At 33.1% G+C, this 19,588-nt stretch overlaps 1 protein-coding gene across 24 annotated transcripts in view; it reads right to left on the bottom strand.

Annotated features, from left to right (window-relative positions):
- DPP10 (dipeptidyl peptidase like 10) overlaps window positions 1-19,588 on the bottom strand; it is a 1,403,140-nt gene that overhangs the window by 331,392 nt on the left and 1,052,160 nt on the right. For all 24 annotated transcript variants that reach the window (NM_001321910.3, NM_001399849.1, NM_020868.6 and 21 more), the window contains 1 exon segment: window positions 14,785-14,879. In NM_001321910.3, coding sequence (NP_001308839.2) covers window positions 14,785-14,879 — 95 coding nt within the window.

Below are 19,588 nucleotides of genomic sequence, written 5' to 3'. Positions count from 1 at the left end.
AAGACTATAGAGAAGAAAAGGAGAAATATGTAGAAACAAGTTTTAAAAAATAATGACTCCAACCTTCTCGATTTGATAAAACATAATATATATACTTAAGAAGTTCAAAAAATTCCAAGTTTCTACTCAAAAAAATTCTGCTCAAAAAGATCCACACATAGATAGATCATAGTCAAGTTGACAAAACTTAGACAAAGAGAAATTAATGAAAACAGCACTAAAAACATAACATCACATACAAGGAACCCTCAATTATAATAACAGCTGACTTTTCATAAGAAACCACAGAGGTCAGAAGAGATTTAGGTTGACGTCTTCAAAGTATTAAAAGAAAAAGCTTGTCAACAAAGAATTCTATATCGAGCTAAACTTTCTCTCATAAAGGAAGGAGAAGTTGTCATTTCTAAATAAACAAAACCTGAGAGCATTTGTTACTTTTAGCCCCGCTCTAAGGAAACACTAAAGGAAGAAGTCCTTCAGGCTGAAATGAAATGACAATAAATAGTCACTTGAAACCACATGAAGACACAAAATGACCTAGTAAAAGTATCCACACAGTTATTATGAAAGAAAACATAAACACATTTGCTTGTAACTCCTTTCTTATCCTACTTGTTTTAGAACATAGCTGCATAAAAACAATTATTATAAAAGCGTGTTGATTGGGTTATAACATATAAAGATATAACTTGTATGAAAATTACAGTACAAAGGGGTGAAAAACATGAAATGAAGTTGGAATAATGTTTGTATGCCATTGAAATTAAATTAGTATTTTATCTGAACAAATTTTTTCTAAATTAAGATGCTAGTTGTAAATTACAAGGCAATGGCTAAATAAATAACACAAAAAATAGTAAAAAGGAACAATAGCAAATATAAAAGATACAGCAGAAAATATCTAACAAAAAAGGAGTGAGAAATCCAAGAATGGAGAAACAAAAATGACATATGATATGTAGAAAACAAATATTATTAAATAAATGGCCAATATATGTTCTACCTTATTAATAATTGCATTAAATGAAAATAAACACATGAATCAAAATGTGTAGGTTGACAGGATAAATTTTTTTAAAATAATTATATGCTGTATACAAAGGATATATTCTAAATTGAAGACACTAATAAGTTTAAAATAAAAAGGTGAAAAAGGTATACCATGAAACTGGTAAACAAAACAAGGATAGAATGGTTTCACTAACATCAAATGAAATACACTCTAAGGCAAAAATTCTTACTAGAGACAAAGATAAAAATTATGCAATAATAAAAGGGCCATTCTATCAGAAAAATAAAACAATTATAAATATGTATGCACATAATAATAGAGCTCACAAATATATGAAGCAAAAATTTATAGAATTGAAAGGGAAAATAAACAATTTAATAATAAATAGTTGGAGACTTCAAAACCTTGATTTCAGCAATGGATAGAACCAGTAGGCAGAACATCAGTAATAAAATAGAAGACAAACAACATTCTAAAGCAAAAAGATCTTACAGACAGAAATGCTAGCAGAAAATACACACATACTTATGAGGTTTGCATGAAATATTTTCTAGGTGAGATCATATGTTAGGCCACAAAACATGTTTCAATGAATGGAAAAGTATTGAAATTATAAAAAGTATGTTATTTGACCCAAATGAAATTATATTAAAAATCAATAATGGAAGGCAATTTGGGAAATTCACAAATATATAGATACTAAACAACAGTTACCTAAATAACCAATGAATCAAGAAATAAATAACAACAGAAATAATAAAATGCTTTGAGAAGAATGAAAATGAAAACACAAAATACAAAAATTTATGATATATAGTAAAGAAGAACTTACAGGGAAATTATTAGCTGTAAAAATCTATATTAGGAACGAAATAGAGTGAGAAAGTAAAGAGGAAAAAAAGAAAGAAGAAAAGAAAAGAAAGGAAGAAAGAAAGAAAAAGCCAGAGGCCAGGTGCAGTGGCTCATATCTGTAATCTTAGGCCATGTGCGGTGGCTCATGTCTGTAATCCTCCCTTTGGGAGGCCTAGGTGGGAGGATTGCTTGGGGTAAGTTGTTCACAACCAGCCTGGGCAAAATAGTATGACACAATCTAACAAAAAATTAAAAATTTAGCTAGACATGGTGGCTCATGCCTGAAGTCCCAGCTTCTCAGGAGGCTCAGGTGGGAAGGTTGCTTAAGCCTGGGAGATTGGGGCTACAGTGAGCCATGATCACAACACTGCACTCCAGCCTGGGCAACAGAGTGAGACTTTGTCAAAAAGAAAGAAAAATAGAAGAGAAGAAAAGAAAGGGAGGGAGACAGGAAGGAAGGAAAGAGGGGAGGGAGTGGGGAAGGGAGGGAGGAAGTCTTGTGTGGTGGCTCACACCTGTAATCCCAACACTTTGGCAGACCAAGACAGGAGGATCACTTGAGCCCAGAAGGTCAAGATCAGCCTAGGAAACATAGTGAGACCACAGTGTGACAAAACTTTTTTTAAAAAAATTAGCTGGGAATGGTGGCACACATCTGTAGTGCAGATACTCAGGAGGCTGAGGTGGGAGGATCACTTGAGCCTGGGAGGTTGAGGCTGCAGTGAGATATGATTGTACCACTACACTCCAGACTAGGTAACAGAGTGAGACCCTGTGTCAAAAAAAAAAAAAAGAAGAAGAAGAAGAAGAAGAAGAAGAAGAAAGAAGAAAAAAGGGCAAGAAGAAAATACATATCTCAAATTAATAGCTTAAACTTCTACCTAAAGAAGTCAGGAAAAAAACAAGGAAACTAACACAAGCAAGCAGAAGGAAGGAAATAAAAAAGCTTAGGTGGAAATAAGTTACATCTAGGCTAAAAAAACAATGGAGAAAATGAATAAGGCTGAGAGTTTCTTCCTTGAAAAGAAAAATAAAATTGGCAAGCCTCTAGATAGATGGATGAGAAAAAATAACAAGATTCAAATTACTAAAATCAGGCATGAAAGAAGAGGCATCAGTATCAACCTTACAGAAATGAACATGTAACAGAATACTATAAAATTGCTTATCAACAAATTCAGTTATTTAGATCAAAACAAGAAGTCTTAGAAAGACATAAATTTCAGAAGTAATATATATTTGGAATAGGCTTATAACATGTAAAAGGATTGATGAAATAAATTTAAAACTTCCTGTGAAAAAGAAGCCTAGGCCATAATGGTATCATCAGTGAGTTCCATGAAACATTAAAAAAAATCCTTCATAAACTTTTCCAAAAAATAAAAGGAAGAAACAATTTGCTACTTATTCTATTAGGCTAGTATTATCTTGATATCAAAACCAGACAAAGACATAGTTGGAAAAAGCTACAGACTGATAACCCCTTATGAGTATAAAGAGCCTGGACTACTAAACAAATACAGCAATGTGGCAGGATAAGCATTCAACACACAAAAATCATTACATTTCTATACACTAGCTGCAAACAATTTAAAGATGAAATGGAGTAAACAATTCTATTTATAATGGCCACAAAAGCAATAAAATACCTAGTAACAAATTCAACAATAAAAGTATGATTTTTAGATGGAAAAATATAACACATTCTTTTAAGAAACTGAATAATATCTAAATAAATTAAAAGACATTGTATGTCTACAGATCAGAACCTTGTTAGTGTAGCACTATTTTTCAAATTGATCTACATAAGCAATATAATCACCATCAAAAGTCTTAGCTTCTTTTGACTTTGTTTGCAAATTTTACGAGTTGATCTTAAAATTCATATGGAAATGTAAGGGACACAGAAATCCAATTTTGAAAAAGAGCAAAGTTCAAGGGCTCACACATCTTGATTACAAGTCTCACCACATAGCTACAACAGTCAAGACTGAACTTCTGGCCTAAGGATAAACATATAGATTAATAGAATACAGAGTCCCAAGACAAAATCATATATTTGTGGTCAGCTGACATTTGAGAAGGGTGCCAAAATTATTCAACAGAAAAAAAAATCTTTTCAAAAATGTTACATGGATAATTGTATTTCCACATGCAAAAGAATAAATGTGGACCTCTTTCCTCACATCATATTAAAAAATCCACTCAAAATGTATCATAGAACTAAACATAGAAATAAAAATCTATTATGTTCTCAAACACACAAAAAGAAGTTAGTCTAAATTAACAATGTATAGAAAACTAAAGAAAAAATAGATTTGACTTTATCAACATTTAAATCTGGTGCATCAAAAGACACCAATCAGAAAGTGAAAGACAACATACCTGGGAGAAAACATTTGAAACTTATGTATCTGACAAGGAATTTGATTTATAATATATGAAAAAATCTTACAATTCAGCAATTGAAAAGAGCTCAATAAAAAATGGGCAAAGAATTTGAACAGACATTTCTCCAACAAAGATATACAAATGATCAATAAGCACAAGAAAAGATCCTCAATATCATCAATAAATTAAGGGAATACAAATAAATGCCATGGCAAGATATTACTTCACACCCACTAAAATGGCTAAAATCAAATAGGTAAGAACCTGTTTTGTAGAGATGTGAATTAATCAAGCCCCTCTTATACCATTGCTAGGAAGGCAAATCCATGCAACCACCTTAGAAGTTCCTCAAACTGCTAATACAGAATTACCATATGATCCACAACTCTGCTCCTTCTTTTTAAGAAGTGGAGACTACCTTTGTTTTGTTTTGTTTTGTTTTGTGTTCTTTTGTTTTATTTTGTTTTTGAGACAGAGTCTTGCTCTGTCGTCCAGGCTGGAGTGCAGTGGCGCAATCTCAGCTCACTGTAACCTCCACCTAGGAGTGGAGACTATTTTTAACTTAAAGGTTCATTTTTCACATTTGAATCAAGAAATGTGACACCCTAAATACTGTTTGATAGATTTCCCCACTTAGTTACTAAATGCCGTTTAACAGATATTTTCATCCAACCATACGCTCAAACCTGGTTCTCACCCAGAATTCCCCATCTCAATGGTTAACTCCCCTTTCATTTAAGTCATACAACCAAAATCTCAAGAATTATCCCTGATACATCATTCTAACCGCCATCACCAACCACTACATTCTTATTTTGTTACTTTCTTTTTATTTTACTTATTATTATCGTCCAAATCTTTCTCTTCTCTGCTGGCACTGCCTAAGTCCATTTGCTTATAATCTCAAGCCTAGGCCATCCACTAGTGTCTTTATTTGTCCTTTCTTGAGCCACAACTTTCAATTTTAACTTACTTTCTCACTTCAACGGGAATATATTTGTTTCCAAAAGCAAATCTGATCATTTTTGAAAATTTAGCACCATGACCCGCATGATCTGGCCACTACTTAATTCTCCAACCTGTTTCCCCCTTCCTTGTGCTGCTCCCACTACCATGGCATTCTTTGTTTCTAATACTCCATGCCTCATGCCTGTCCCACTATGCTCAAGCCATATTCTTGCTTAGTCAACTTATCTGCAGTCATCTTCATTTCTTATTTATTTATTTACTTAGAGATGAAGTCTCGCTCTGTTGCCAGGCTGTAGTGCAGTGGCGCTATCTCAGCTCACTGCAACCTCCGCCTCCCAAGTTCAAGCAATTCTCCTGCCTCAGCCTCCTGAGTAGCTGGGACTAGAAGCACATGCCACCACACTCAGCTAATTTTTGTATTTTTAGTAGAGATGGGGTTTCGCCATGTTGGCCAGGATGGTCTTAATCTCTTGACCTTGTGATCCACCTGCCTCAGGCTCCCAAAGTGCTGGGATTACAGGCGTGAGCCATTGAGCCCGGCTCATCTTCATTTCTTTAGGAAAGCTTTCCGTGACTTATTTAAAACAGATACAGCCAATGCATTAGAAATTCTGACATGGATATTAAGCAATAAAAGTAAAAGCAATATTTAACTTTCATTCTTATATTCCTATACTTTGCAGTTATTCTATGTCATAAATTGTAAATGTTTATATATCTAATTATTTGATTAGTGCATATCTCCCTTAATACATAATGAGATCCTTACGGCAGGAGCTCTCCTGTTTTCCTTATGGCAGGAGCTCTCCTATTTTCTCTCCTATTTTCTATTGTATCTTCAGCTGTAGTTGTAGTTGGGACAGAAAAAGCATATAAAATATTATGGAGTCATTGAATCAAATAATCATAGGCAATATAATATATTTTAAGCCCCAAGAGACAATGGATTGCATGTCTATGTTCTATTTATTATAAATTTGTTAATTTTATTTCAAGATTTTTTCAACCAGGCTTCTAAAAATTCCTCTGTTATACTGTTATACACAGAAAACATGCATAAACATGTACATATAAGACCTAACCATGAAATAGATTCCATTGTCAAAAATTGTGGCAAAATATTCAAAATAGAATTACCCATTTAATGACATTTAAAACCTCAGAGATGATGCTGATTCCTCTATTTCCAACAAGTTGAAGGTAATTAACCAACAAAGCCCTACCCATTTTATCTCCAAGCAAATCCTCCACCCACCTACTTTTTACCTTCTCCAATAGCATCCCTGTACATAGTTCACACCCTGCATCTTCTCCTACTTGTACCACTGCAATAGCCTTCAGAATGGTCTCTCAGTTTCTACTTTAATATCCCTAGAAAATGCTCTCCATATAATTGACAGAGTGTACTTTTAAAATATGACTTAGGTATTGCCACTTTCTTTCTTCAGAGTGTACCTACTGCTCACAAAATAAAACCTTGACCTACAAAACTCAGTATAAATCTTTCCCCTAGTTATCTCATTGAGTTCATCTTGTACCATTCTCTACCCATGTCCACCACTTACATATTTTCTGTTCTTGGAATAGATCTATATAGTTTGAACCCTATGTTGTTTGTAATTACTGGCCTTGCAACCTACACAACTCTTCAATTTGACCTTGAAATGTTATCTCCGTAGTGAGCCTTTCCTAAGCAACTAATCATTCTCTAGACCTCACCCTATGTTATTTTTCAACAAGGATTTAAATTTACTAGCTGACATTTTCTTGTATTTTCAATGAATTACTCATTTATTGTCAGTCTGACAAACTTGTCTTGCTCTCCATTGTATCCCCAGAATCTGGAATATTATCTGACACACAACAGGGATCCAAACAACACTTGGCAAATAAATTAATAAAGTAATAAGGCATAATGAGTCATTTCAACAATGATGCAGAAACATCATAAAGATGGAGAAGTAGAAAAATCTCTACAAGTTTTTAAGACACAGAAGAAATTCAAATATAAACTAGATTATTTCAGCCAGATATATCAGGGGAAAGAAGAGAAGTAGAGTAGTAGTTCATAATAATAGGTGCTGCTTGCTTGGTGGGGTGTGTGTGTCTGTGTGTGTGTGTGTGTGTGTGCGCGTGCGTGTGTGTGTAATGCAGCCAAGGTTGTTATCCTTTGTTCACGAGGCAATATTTCAACAATAATTGAAAACATTTGGATGGAAAGAATGATGACACAGGTTATAGTCATCACAATATTTAAAATATGTTAAAAACAAATATGATGACTTCAGACAAGTTAAGGCAAACAAAGCTATGTAAACCACACTCACAGTTTTCCTCTTTTCCACTCACTATATAATGTTTCCTTACTGATTATCTGGTAGTAAAATGGATAGACTGGTTGATTGATTGATAGATATAGATAGATCAATATCTGCATAGATAGATCTATACATAGATATCTATTCTATCTGTATTATGTGAACATATGAATAAATACATACAAACATACATATATTTAATTCAAGCATCTTTCCTAAAAGGTTTAAGTAAAAATTCCACAAATAAACATAGATTTTTATATATATAAAAAACTAAAGGATCATTATTTATTTTCACATTTCTTTAAAAGGTATTTTGAATGGAATTCTCAGCTAGTAATATTAAAAACAACAATGGATTAGGAGTCAAGAAATGTTTTCCTTAGTCTCAAGACTACACTAGATTTATTGAGCAAGTCTCTTTATTTCTCTGGGTCTCAGTTGATTTTTTACTTTTTTAAATTTCAACTGAAGTAGGAGACAGGGAAAATGCTTTCTAGCTCTATAATGAGCTGTCATTATCATTTAATGTTTACCAAAAATTGAACTTCCTTGAATGCTCACGCATGTTTCACAAGCAAACTAAAATACTAATTTAATATATTTCCAATATACTATTAAAATATCTGTATTATGTAATGTGAAGTGTGGAAGGGCTGCAGAAGTTTTGGCAACGCATAGTTCTACATCATCAAAGCTGTGTAGACTGAAGTATTCTGAAAGATCAAAAGAAGGGAAAAATTATTTTTATATCATCAACTTCCAAAGCTTGAAAAGTTTCTCGAAAATGTATTTTGTTTGCTTAAGTTCCATCATAAAGTAATAAAACACTGAGTGTTTTATTATTTTATTTGTATTAATAATTTTAGTTTATAAACTATAATTGTATATATTTATGGGGTAAAATGTGATGTTCTGATATATATGGAAGAATACACAATGTGGAATGATTAAAGCAAGCTAATTAACATATTCATCAGCTCCCATACCCATCTTTTTGTAGTAAGACATTTGAAATTTACTCTCAGTAATTTTGAAATACACAATACATTATTCTTAACTCTGGTTGCCCTGTTGTGTTTCTCTAAAGCTTATTATTCCTTCTGTCTGACACTTTGTATCCTTTGGCCAGTATTTTTAAAAATTTCTAATTGGCTTTCTATGACTGGGAGACAGCAATATATAAAATTATTCAGCAAGAAAATGAAGGGCAGAAATATCCATCAAATGTTTAAACTAGAGCCTCGACTTGCTCAAGATGGACTGACTGATTCTGGATACACGTCAGAGAGCTGACCTCTCAGGAAGCCAAATTCCAAAACAATCGCAAACAGTTGTTATAAATCTAGCTGCCTGTTGGTTTCCAGCATCCTGTCTGACACCTCCAGCTCCAAAGAGACTAAATAAGAATCTTCTAAAAAAATCAACACTGGAATTGTAATCCTTTTATCACATATATCTAATAGGCTCTGTCAGACAAGATTGAACCAAGCTCTAGTTCATATAATTAAACAAGTGTCATCTAATTAATTTTTGTCATAATTGTATTCCTATCTGAAGGAAACAATTTAGTTATATTATTTTTAATATTATTTTTATATTACTCAGATAATTTTATTTATATATTACTTAGATAACTTTGTTTATAAGGATGACTTACTCATTTAACAATATGCATAATAAATGGCTATGAATGTGGATTTATTAGTAACACTATGATTATTGACAATAAAATGGTCCTACCATCTGAGATACTTTGTCCTCATGAATAAATTAGTTAGTAGAATCTAATTTCTAGATCCTTCATAATGGTAATTGAGGGTAAAAAATAATAATGTAGTAGTCAATTTTAGCCCTTTAAACCTATGGGGAACTGTATGAATAACTGTTTGAAACTGCAGGGTAATCCTGTCACACTTGCAAACACATAGAAGCAACAAGACTATTTCCTCTCACACTTTTAATTAAAATAGTGCCTGAGTAGACTTCCAGGGTAAGGATCAGAAATTTTCTTTCTAATTTCCCTGTTTTAATGACCACTACTTTTAAAGCTATGCTGGAATTCACTTTCACATATATCTAACTTACAGAAAATTTTGAAGAGCCTAAATGTCTATGGTAGATTCAATGTTTCCTTCCCTAACTAAATATAGAAAGGTGTCCAATCTTTGCTGAAACATGTATTATTCCATTTGTTTCCCTGAATGTACATCAATGTTACATCCTATTTTGATGACTGAATTGGAAATATTCCAAATATTACCTAAATAATGTAAACAAACATAAATAATCATTTTTAAATAAATATTGTGGATATAATAAGTATCTAAATATTTTCATAGTGAATGATAAAAATAAGATAAATATGAAGGTATCTAGCAACAGGAAATGGTAACTGCTATAGCGAGGGGAAGGACATGCCCAAGCAAAAGATGATGAAATTCAATTATTCATAAGCACAATGCACCAATGAAAGCAATTATGCTGACTGGAGTCCCCAGTAGCCATCAGTTTTTATCCTCTATCTTAAAAAGGAACAACTGCTTCCTAGTAAAAAAAAAAAAAAAAAAAGTTGGCAATAGCCAAATAAGTGATACTAACTTATCTGAACAAAAAAGTCCCAATCAGAAGTATCATCCAAAAATTGTAAGAAAACTGGGTCACACTTTTATTTTATACTCAGCAATACACACAAGAGAGGAAGCCAAGGCCAAATGATCCTACTCATGCATGCTGGTCTTCTTTGCAGGGTTATTCAAAAGAAGAAAAGTACCTGAAACTAATGAACCTGGAAGCCACAGTTTAATATCTCCCTTAAAATTATCAATTTAAAAGTCATTACTTTGATCCCACCTCAGAAAATTACCTTCTAATTATCACAGGGTTTCTCTTGTATCTCTGTCTAGAACAGGGTTTCTCAAACTCTACACTCCTGACATTTCTGGTTGCGTTAAGTGTAGGATGCACATTTCTGACCTCTACTCACTAGATTCCCACAGCAAACCCCTCACATTCATTCAGGACAATCAAAAATGTCTCCAGAGCTGACAAATGTCTCCTGGGAGCAAAATCACCCCCAGTGGAGAAACACTGCTCTAGAGAAAGAAAGAAACAATACTGTCAAAACACAACATTGATATGCACAGCTTCACTGATTAATCAGTGTTAGTTACACTACTGATGTCTATCACTACTGGGATTCCAACAGATACTGAGTAGACCAAATCTTACAAATAATTAACAAATCATCCATTACTATTGGCCATTATGTGAGGCTACGTGGCCAATCGAATTTTCTGATAATCTTTCCTCATCTCAAATTTTATGAGGTACAATTGTCGGTGCCTTTGTTCAGTAATTCTTTATCTGTGCTACTGTGTTTGTTTTTGTTGTTGTTTCAATAGGGCACCTATTTACTCAAACACAAACTGAATAGTAAGTTTCTTGATTTCACAGCGGTACAGAGTTGGATCTATCACCTCCATATACCCAACAGCACAACAAATAAAACAACAAAGAAACCAAATGAAAAACACTAGGATGACATCGAAGCCAGCTGATGCTGTCTCTAGGCATTATAAATCAATGAATCTTCCTTGGTTCTTCCCAAACCTACTATTTTGTAATTGCCTATATATAAATAAACACTTAGACCAATGAATACGTAACTAACATTTTGCTTGGAATCATTCTGCTGCCATATATGAATTTCCTTCCTGTGTTATGGCTACTTTTTTAGTAGAATGTATTTAAATAGGCTTACAGAGTTTCAGAGATTTCAGATTAGAGTCTTATCTCTCAATTATTCCTTTTCATATTAATGCATAAGATATATATTCTAGGGGGCCAAGCTCTGTGACTCACTCTTATAAACCTAGTGCTTTGTGAGGCCACCAGAGGAGGATCACTTGAGGATATAGTTCAAGATGAACCTGGGCAACATAGTGAGACTCCATTTCTAAAAAAAAAAAAACTGTTTTAAAAAATTAGCCGAGCCTGGTGGCACACACCTGTGGTCCTAGCTACTCAGGAGGCTGAGGCAGAAGGTTCACTTGAGCCCAGGAGTTTAAAGACTGCAGTGAGCTATGATTGCACCACTGCATCCCAGCCTGGGCAAGAGAGCAAGAGCTTGTGTCTTAAAAAACAAAAAAGATACATATTTTTAAAATCTTAACTATACTTAAGCACATGGGGCTTGGACTTATGTTTACAACCCCCTTATAATTTCAAAAAGTGATTTGATAAAACAATTTATAGCTGCCGGTATTTTCAGCCGTGGTCACTGGTGATATTCAGATTATTGACAGCAGAAAGAGTACAGCTAATACTTAGGAAACAGTTTCCTCATTATGACATTGTGACTGAGCTTTTGTTTGAAATAGTTCTGGCTTTAAGAGATAACATTTCCAAACACTTAGAAATTATAAAGAGCATTTTTGAGGCTAAACCACTTACTTCCCATCCTCTAATTCAAAAGTTGTATGCCCTTTAATTTCCTCCTTTCATTAGAAATCCACCTACCTTCAATCCAAAAGAATGCCTTAACACAATTATTTCATTTTTAAAAAAGTATTTTTTATTTTGGCAACCATGCCCAATATTTATTTTAATCATAGAGTCTGCTAACCATGATTACATAACCAAAAGTACACACCAATCATATTTAAAATGTGTTTAAGCTGAAAAGTGATAAGATGTCAAACAAGATATCATAAGATAAATTAAGATGTCAAATTATCTTAATTTTAAAAATAAATTTGTAGTCATATTTTAGCATAATATGTCTTACTATAGAACAGGCCATTCTGTTATGACATTTTCATCAATAGTATATTTATTTTCTCAAATGACTTGTCATGCTTTCATTTCAAAGCTTTTTATACTGATCTGATCCAATTAATTATTATTATAATTAAGATATTGATAATTGCTCACAGAAAAACCAGCAATATGTTTCAATAAAATATATTTTTCAACAGAGTTTCCTGGAAGAGAAATTAAATCCCGGTTTTAGCCTAACGTTAGTATTAAAAACATAAGTGTATTAAATAATGCCATTTTGAAGTTAGGAGAGAATGATTAAACAAGCTCCTTTGAAATCATCTGGAATTATGGTAATTCCTATTTTTGTTCTCAGTTTTGGGTAACTGGTTGCAAACTGATGCCACCTTCCACTCCCCTAACCCCTGCCCGACATCGAATTTAGACACCTCTAGGACTTATAAATTGCTTAATTATCTGTGTTGTGACATAAATGTCCTTAGGGAGCATATGAATCTTAGAAGACAAGTAAATTAGAATATTTGCTAAATATGACCCTGTGGTAATTAAGAGTCACGGCTAATGTAGAGGAGAATAGAAAGAGACCTCAAAAGGATTTAAAAAGATATAACACAGAAACACAAAGATAAAACAGCAATAATTAGCACATGGAGAAAACCACAATGATATGAGATGGTGATGGTGTGTAGTACCAGCAAAAGAATTGAGATAATGGAATAATAATCTAAAAGTTCTGTTTGTTTTGGTTTCTTTTTTGATGTATCATGGAAGATAAAAAAGTAATGAATAAATAATGGAAAACCAAAACATAATTAGTGATGGGGGAAAACCTCACTGACTTGTGTAAATGAGTATTTAATGAGGCACAGCCACATAATAGAATAATTCATGTACTGAGTATATCTAACCTGAATGCTTGGCTACTGAGGGCCTAGAATCTCCATAAAATTATGTTACTTTATGAAGAAAAAGCAAAAATTAAAATGCACTCAATTTTTGTTCCCCAAACTAATTTTATTAAAAATCCATTCATTCTGACTTTAATCCATATATTATCATCATACCTTCTCATCATTATCAATTCTGGAATTCTGTCTCCTATCCTATCTTCTTACTAATGGCTAATTTTCCACTATTGACAGTATTTCTCAATGATTCTCTAGGCTTTTTTCTAGTATCCCTGAGGACCATCCACTGAAGAAATAGTAAACACTGCTGTATACTGTTTATTAAAATTCTCCGTAAGGGTTAGTATTATCTCCCAAAGGAAATCCACATTCTTAGACAGTAGGCAATCTGCTGTACATATCCTTGACATCCCACGAGTACCATAAAGAGTTGCACACAAAGTAACTATTCTTTGATTCCCTGTAATTAGTTTAAAACCAAAAATGTCATTATTTTTCTTCTGGCTGATGACCTTATTATTAATGTACATTAGTTGGCTGGTTAAATTTAGCCCAATGATATACATATATAATCACTTAATGATTGTAATGACCTTTTCTCCTTAATATGTAAAAATACTAAACAGAATATTCTTAGTCCATTTTTTCCATAGGGCCATTCCATAATAAATACGAAGATTAAACGTTTATTTTAAATGTACAAGTAGAATACATTTTTAAAAGTAGCCAACAATTTTGCTTATTTTTTTATTTTGTGGAGGTTTTCTGAGAGCTTGTACTATATTTTGTCTGTATTGTATACATTCATCTAATTGGCAGTCTATTGAAACTTTAATTACAATAAAATAGTAAGTAAATAACTGTGTACTATTTTTCGTTGGTGTTGGGTAGCTAGATTTTCAACATTTGCAATACTGATTCATTATTGCTTACCAAATAGGTAATTATAGCTAAGTCTCCTAACCTTAGGGTACTAGATTTTTCAGAAAGACAAAGTCTGTATTAAGACCAATATAAATACAAACAATAATTTAAACCATGTTGGCGAAACAGTGATACAAAATAAGTAAAATGGTACTGACAGAATCCTAAATTCTAAAACACATCAACCTCAGCTGAAGACCACCTTTAGAAAGCCTTTCTATCTGATCCAGAAAACAACAGAACTAGAAAGAAGTCAGAAAGAATGAAAAGTAAAGAAGAAAAGAAAGTTAATAATAAATAAGGCTAGATGAGCCATTGTTTTTAACCTTGGTATTTGTATGACTAATGTTATATATAAAATATTGGGAAAATTATTCTTTCTAAGCAACTACTATTTTTGGAAATATTTCTCCAATTATTAACAAGAGTAAACGGGAAGAAAATGAAGCAGATAGTCACAGGGTATTTTTTATCAATAGATTTACTGATTCTTATGATATTCCAGCCCCAACTTTTCACCTGAAATGCTTTACAAATGCTGGAGCTGAAGAATAGAAAGTTATGTACATCTAGAGAGCTTTCTAAACAGTACTGAAATGCATAAAGTAATTAATTATTCATTACTTACAAAAGTTGTGTTTTCCAATAATAATGTGGTAGCATTTGTTTCTATATTCAGTTTAATGACATGTCCATTCTCGCTTTTATACACCACATCTGTATCTGCAACAACAAAGACATTCACAATTGACAAATACATTGACTAGATAATATAGTAACTGTAGGGGAGAAAACGTGCAAAATAAACAGACACATTAGAATAATCATTTTTAGCCTTCAATAACCCAAGCAGATTTCTGTACTTGGCATTCATTCTCGTGAAAGATCAGGAAGCCCGCCTAACACATGGTCTATTGTGCAATGAACAAGGGGTTAGTATGAGGGCCACTCAGGTTCATGGTTTAACAAATGAAAATTAATTAAAATATGGGCAGTCTGCTGCACATTCTGTGGTGAGAAAAAATGGGCAAAGAGAAGTGCCTCCAGTCTCTAAAGTAAACCATTACTGATGATGATCCAGTATTTTAACTTAAAAGTGCTGCCAGTTGACTGTAACTCTAACAGTTCTATGTCTCCTAAGATTGAATCATTCTCATGCAGACCTATTTATGGATCCAATTCTTCTACCACCACTGAATTCCTATTCAGCATCTTGAATTCTCTTCTGGGTTGTGAATTTTTTCTGTGGTATTTTACCTGGCTTGCACAATTGCAGCTCAAAATCTGAGGCTACTACTATATCAATGAATGAACTTTTTCAACTCTAGAAGAACTATGTCTTCATTTTAAATAATTGCATTTCTTTCAGATAATTGCTTTTACATATTTTTGAGGTAAGTTTGGCCATATTTGTTAGAAAATTAAAACATCTTAACAATATCTCTGCCTGAAATTACTAACGAGGTAAAACTGACAGGATATAAGGATACTCTGGAGATAAATATATATATATATATAATTATACATAATTATATATATATATATGATTAGGTAAAAGAGAAGATAGCCACATTAAAGTAGGTTTGAATATGTTCTCTTTTTAAATCATAATCTTTTTACCCAATTTTACCCAATTCTAGCCTTTTCTTGCTTACACATCCCTAATCTCCTGCTCATTCTAGGAAGAAAGGTGATATTAATGGAGATTAGATTCACTACTTATAGTGAATGAATGTGTATAAGTTACAATCTCTCAGAAACTGAATGTCTCCACTTGCAAAGTTATAAAACAAGTACTAAATGATGAGTTACAAAGATTAGCCACAAAAACACACGAAAAGGTGTCTGACACTTTTGGCAGAACAAGATTTTCTGACCCCTTCTCTCATTATTTAAATATTATTAATAGTTACACGTACAATTTATATGACAAGAAGCAAGAAATATTAGCAAAGCTGAAGTTTGTTTTCTTCAGTATCTAATTCAAAACACATAGTCCAATATGACTCTCCTGTTAGAGTCAAGAATAACACAGAGGGCCAGTAGTTCTTGACCTTAATCACATGGGAACAGTGACATGTTGGAACTGTGGCCTGGGAAACAGGGAAAGTCAAATGGACTTTTTAGGAAGGAGGAAAGTAAGGAGATAAAGAAGGGATTTCCCAGTTACTCCCTGAGGCTGGCCGTATGGACTGATAGTTCTATATGATCTTTAAATTAAGGCCTGTATCACCTTCTGAACTTCTTTTATCAGCTAAAAAGGAATTGGGTTCTTTTTTTTTTATCATTAACTTTATCTGTTTTCCTTTCTGTTGATGCAGAACAAATAACAGATTTACATAAACAATAAATATTTATTTTGATTTATATTCTTTTCCTCTCTTCCTTTTCCTTTTCATTCATATTTATGATCATGTCTCAACAGCAACACCAATCATCTGTAATGCTCATTTGGTCTTGCCAGCTGATTTGATCTCCTGTCCTCCTGCTCACAATTAATGCTTGCTCAAATCAACAGTCCAACCTCAACTTTGAGTTCTAACTTCTATTCCCTCTATGAATTTTTTAAAATATTCTCATCTCTGGCCCACTTCTTGATTGTGATGAACATATCATCATGAATTATCAAGAGCCAAATAGCATGCCCTAACAAAATCATCCTTACAATATTTTCTCAATAAATTAAGAGAAAATAAATTTCCATTTTCCATTGCATCATGGAGATAAATAGAGCAAAACAAAACAAAACACTCGACAAGTAGCTTTTCTCTCAAAAGGCAGGCAAAAACATCTTTGCAAAGATTATGATAATGAAAGAAATCTAACATGGCTGACTCCATCTTGCTTTTAGGCTCGTAGGCTGGCTGTCTTCACTCATTCTTGGGTATTGGCCAAGCGAACCATTGGTGAAATTTAGTTTATAGTTTAACCTTGAAACAAGAATAATAATAGTCCCTCCCTAAACCTCATCCCCTCCTCGTTCAGGGGTTGAAACCACCCTTGTAATACTAATGAAAGGACACAAAACTGAAATTATGAAAGAGGCCTGAATTCTCCTAAAATGTAGCTATAGTTTCTATAATCCCTTACTGCTCAAAAGTCATGTGGCCAGAGGTCACAAGATTTGTGACTCGCCTATATATAGATAATATAGATGATAGTACTGTTGTAGAACCTCAGGTTGGTCTTCTGAGATGATTTTCAGACTGGCCTCACCTGGACTCATGACTCAACCAGTCCTGTGACCTCCCATCCAGAGGCAGACTCAGTGCACAGTTTTCCACACTTTTATAATTGCATCCCCCCCAACCAATCAGCAGCATCCATTCCCTAGTCCCATGCCCACCAAACTTTCCTTGAAAAACCCTGACCTCCAAGACTTCAGGGAAACTCATTGAGTAATAACTCCAGTTCTCCCACATGGCTAATCTCATGTTACTGAAACTCTTCTTTACTGCAATACCAACGTCTCAGTGAACTGGTTTTTGCAGTGGATAGGAAGAAATCATTGGGTGAGTACACAAGCACAATGCAGAATTTTAAATTGAGATGAGGTCTGTGGTGTTAGAGAGAAAGAAAAGCCATAGAGCAATTTTAGTATGAATGGTGATTCCTAGTCAAGAGAAGAGAAAAAGAAATGCGTGACCCCATAGTTCCTCATAGTGAAAGAAAATCTTAAATGAGTGATAGGTTGTTATTAGGGGTGATCGAAAGAAAATTCATCATGATTTCCCTTAGAACAAAGTAGAAGGAAGTGAAGCTTGTTTGAAAAGATAAAGACTACACTTAATATCAGTTTATTTAAAGTCAATTTTCTTGGATAATTATTTGGCCTTGAGAAAAATCTACAGAGAATTGAGATTTGTAAATACCTTTAGATCTACACTCCTGCAAATTTTACTGTTAGACTCTCAATGTTGCATTAATAGGATAAACTTTTAAAATTCACATGTAATTCTCTAGCTTAATAAATAATAAAGATTTTTGCATGAATTATTTTAAAAGAAACTAATATCTGCCCTTATTAATTTTCTTGGGGTTTTTTTTGTTCTTTATAATCTGGTCTTCTGGATTTCATATTTATCCTACTTTACAGTTTGATTTATAATCACTAGTGGAATCCCCAGTTTTGAAACTCCTGTTACTAGATTAACAGTTATCTACCAGACTAATAGTGATCCTTCATTCTGGAACTACATTTCTAAATGTTGTATGATATATTTTGTTTAACTTTAAGTAATCAAATATGAGTGAATCAGATCAATGACTTAAGTGCATTAACATGGAAAGATTAAGGTAGGAGTACTTGAAATATTCTTAAAGCATGGCACTATGCATATCTACAAGGTACTTTGATTAAATAATCTTTTCTCCTTTTTAACTCTTTGACAGTTAAGAGCCAATTATTCTGAACACACATTCGACTCAGTCAGTTTTCCTAAAATGAAAATGTATGGCAGAATAGAATCACTATCTGGCCTGTGTACCCTGAGATCTAAGCACGTATTTTCAGTCTGCAGTAACCCTAACTATCATTACTGCCATTTCGATCCAATTTTTTTTCCCATAATTTGGCTGACAAAAAGAAAAACATAGTATCCTAATTTAAAATCTTTCAGGTAAATGCAGCCTTATATTTTATACCTCTTCCACACAAAGCAGATAATAAAGCATTTTCCATTGTTAATTTAGTTCTCAATGTGGTATTGAAATTAAGAACTGAGACTTCTGCATCCACCTTATCTATCAGGACCAAAAATAAAGGCAGCCTACATTCACATTATTTTACTGTTTGTTCTAGGAAGTTCTTGTTTATGAACTTAACGTTGTAAATCAGAACGAAAAACTTTTTTTTTTTTTTTTTTTTCAGAAAATGGCTGAAAATTAGTTTCTAGAAACATTAAACTCCTAAAACTGGGTAAATGGCTCAATTATCAAACAACTCACTTCAAGATTCCTGCCTTTCTGTGTTCACCAATCCTAAACTATTACGTCTTGAAATGTGCCTAACCAAACCAGATCCTCACATTGAAAGTTCAGTCTTATCTACTCAAACCTAGATTTCCAACCCTATTCATATTTCGCCTTAATCCTCTCCTTCTGGACACTCCGACTCTTGTAAAATGTTGTCTTTTCTGACTATTATAGGTAATAAACTCAGCTTTGCTTAACGGGTTATGCTGTGAGTCTTCTGAGAAGTTGAAATCCGACAAAATTCATCTTCCATATGTAACAATAAAAAGTCACCATATTGGTTTCTGTTGGTCTTGCTAACGGCTAATTTAAGTATGCATTTAATTTTGACGTGATAATCTAGTTTCAGTGTTTTAAAATTAAATCAATAAATATATAATCTATCTCTACATAGAGAAAGAGTTTTCAAAAAGTAGAAAAAACTCTGGCAAATCAGTTCTCTGAGAAACTTTAATCCA

This window comes from Homo sapiens, chromosome 2, assembly GCF_000001405.40.
Source record: "Homo sapiens chromosome 2, GRCh38.p14 Primary Assembly".
NCBI classification, from domain to species: Eukaryota; Metazoa; Chordata; class Mammalia; order Primates; family Hominidae; genus Homo; species Homo sapiens.
This window is presented reverse-complemented; position numbering and strand designations above follow the sequence as displayed.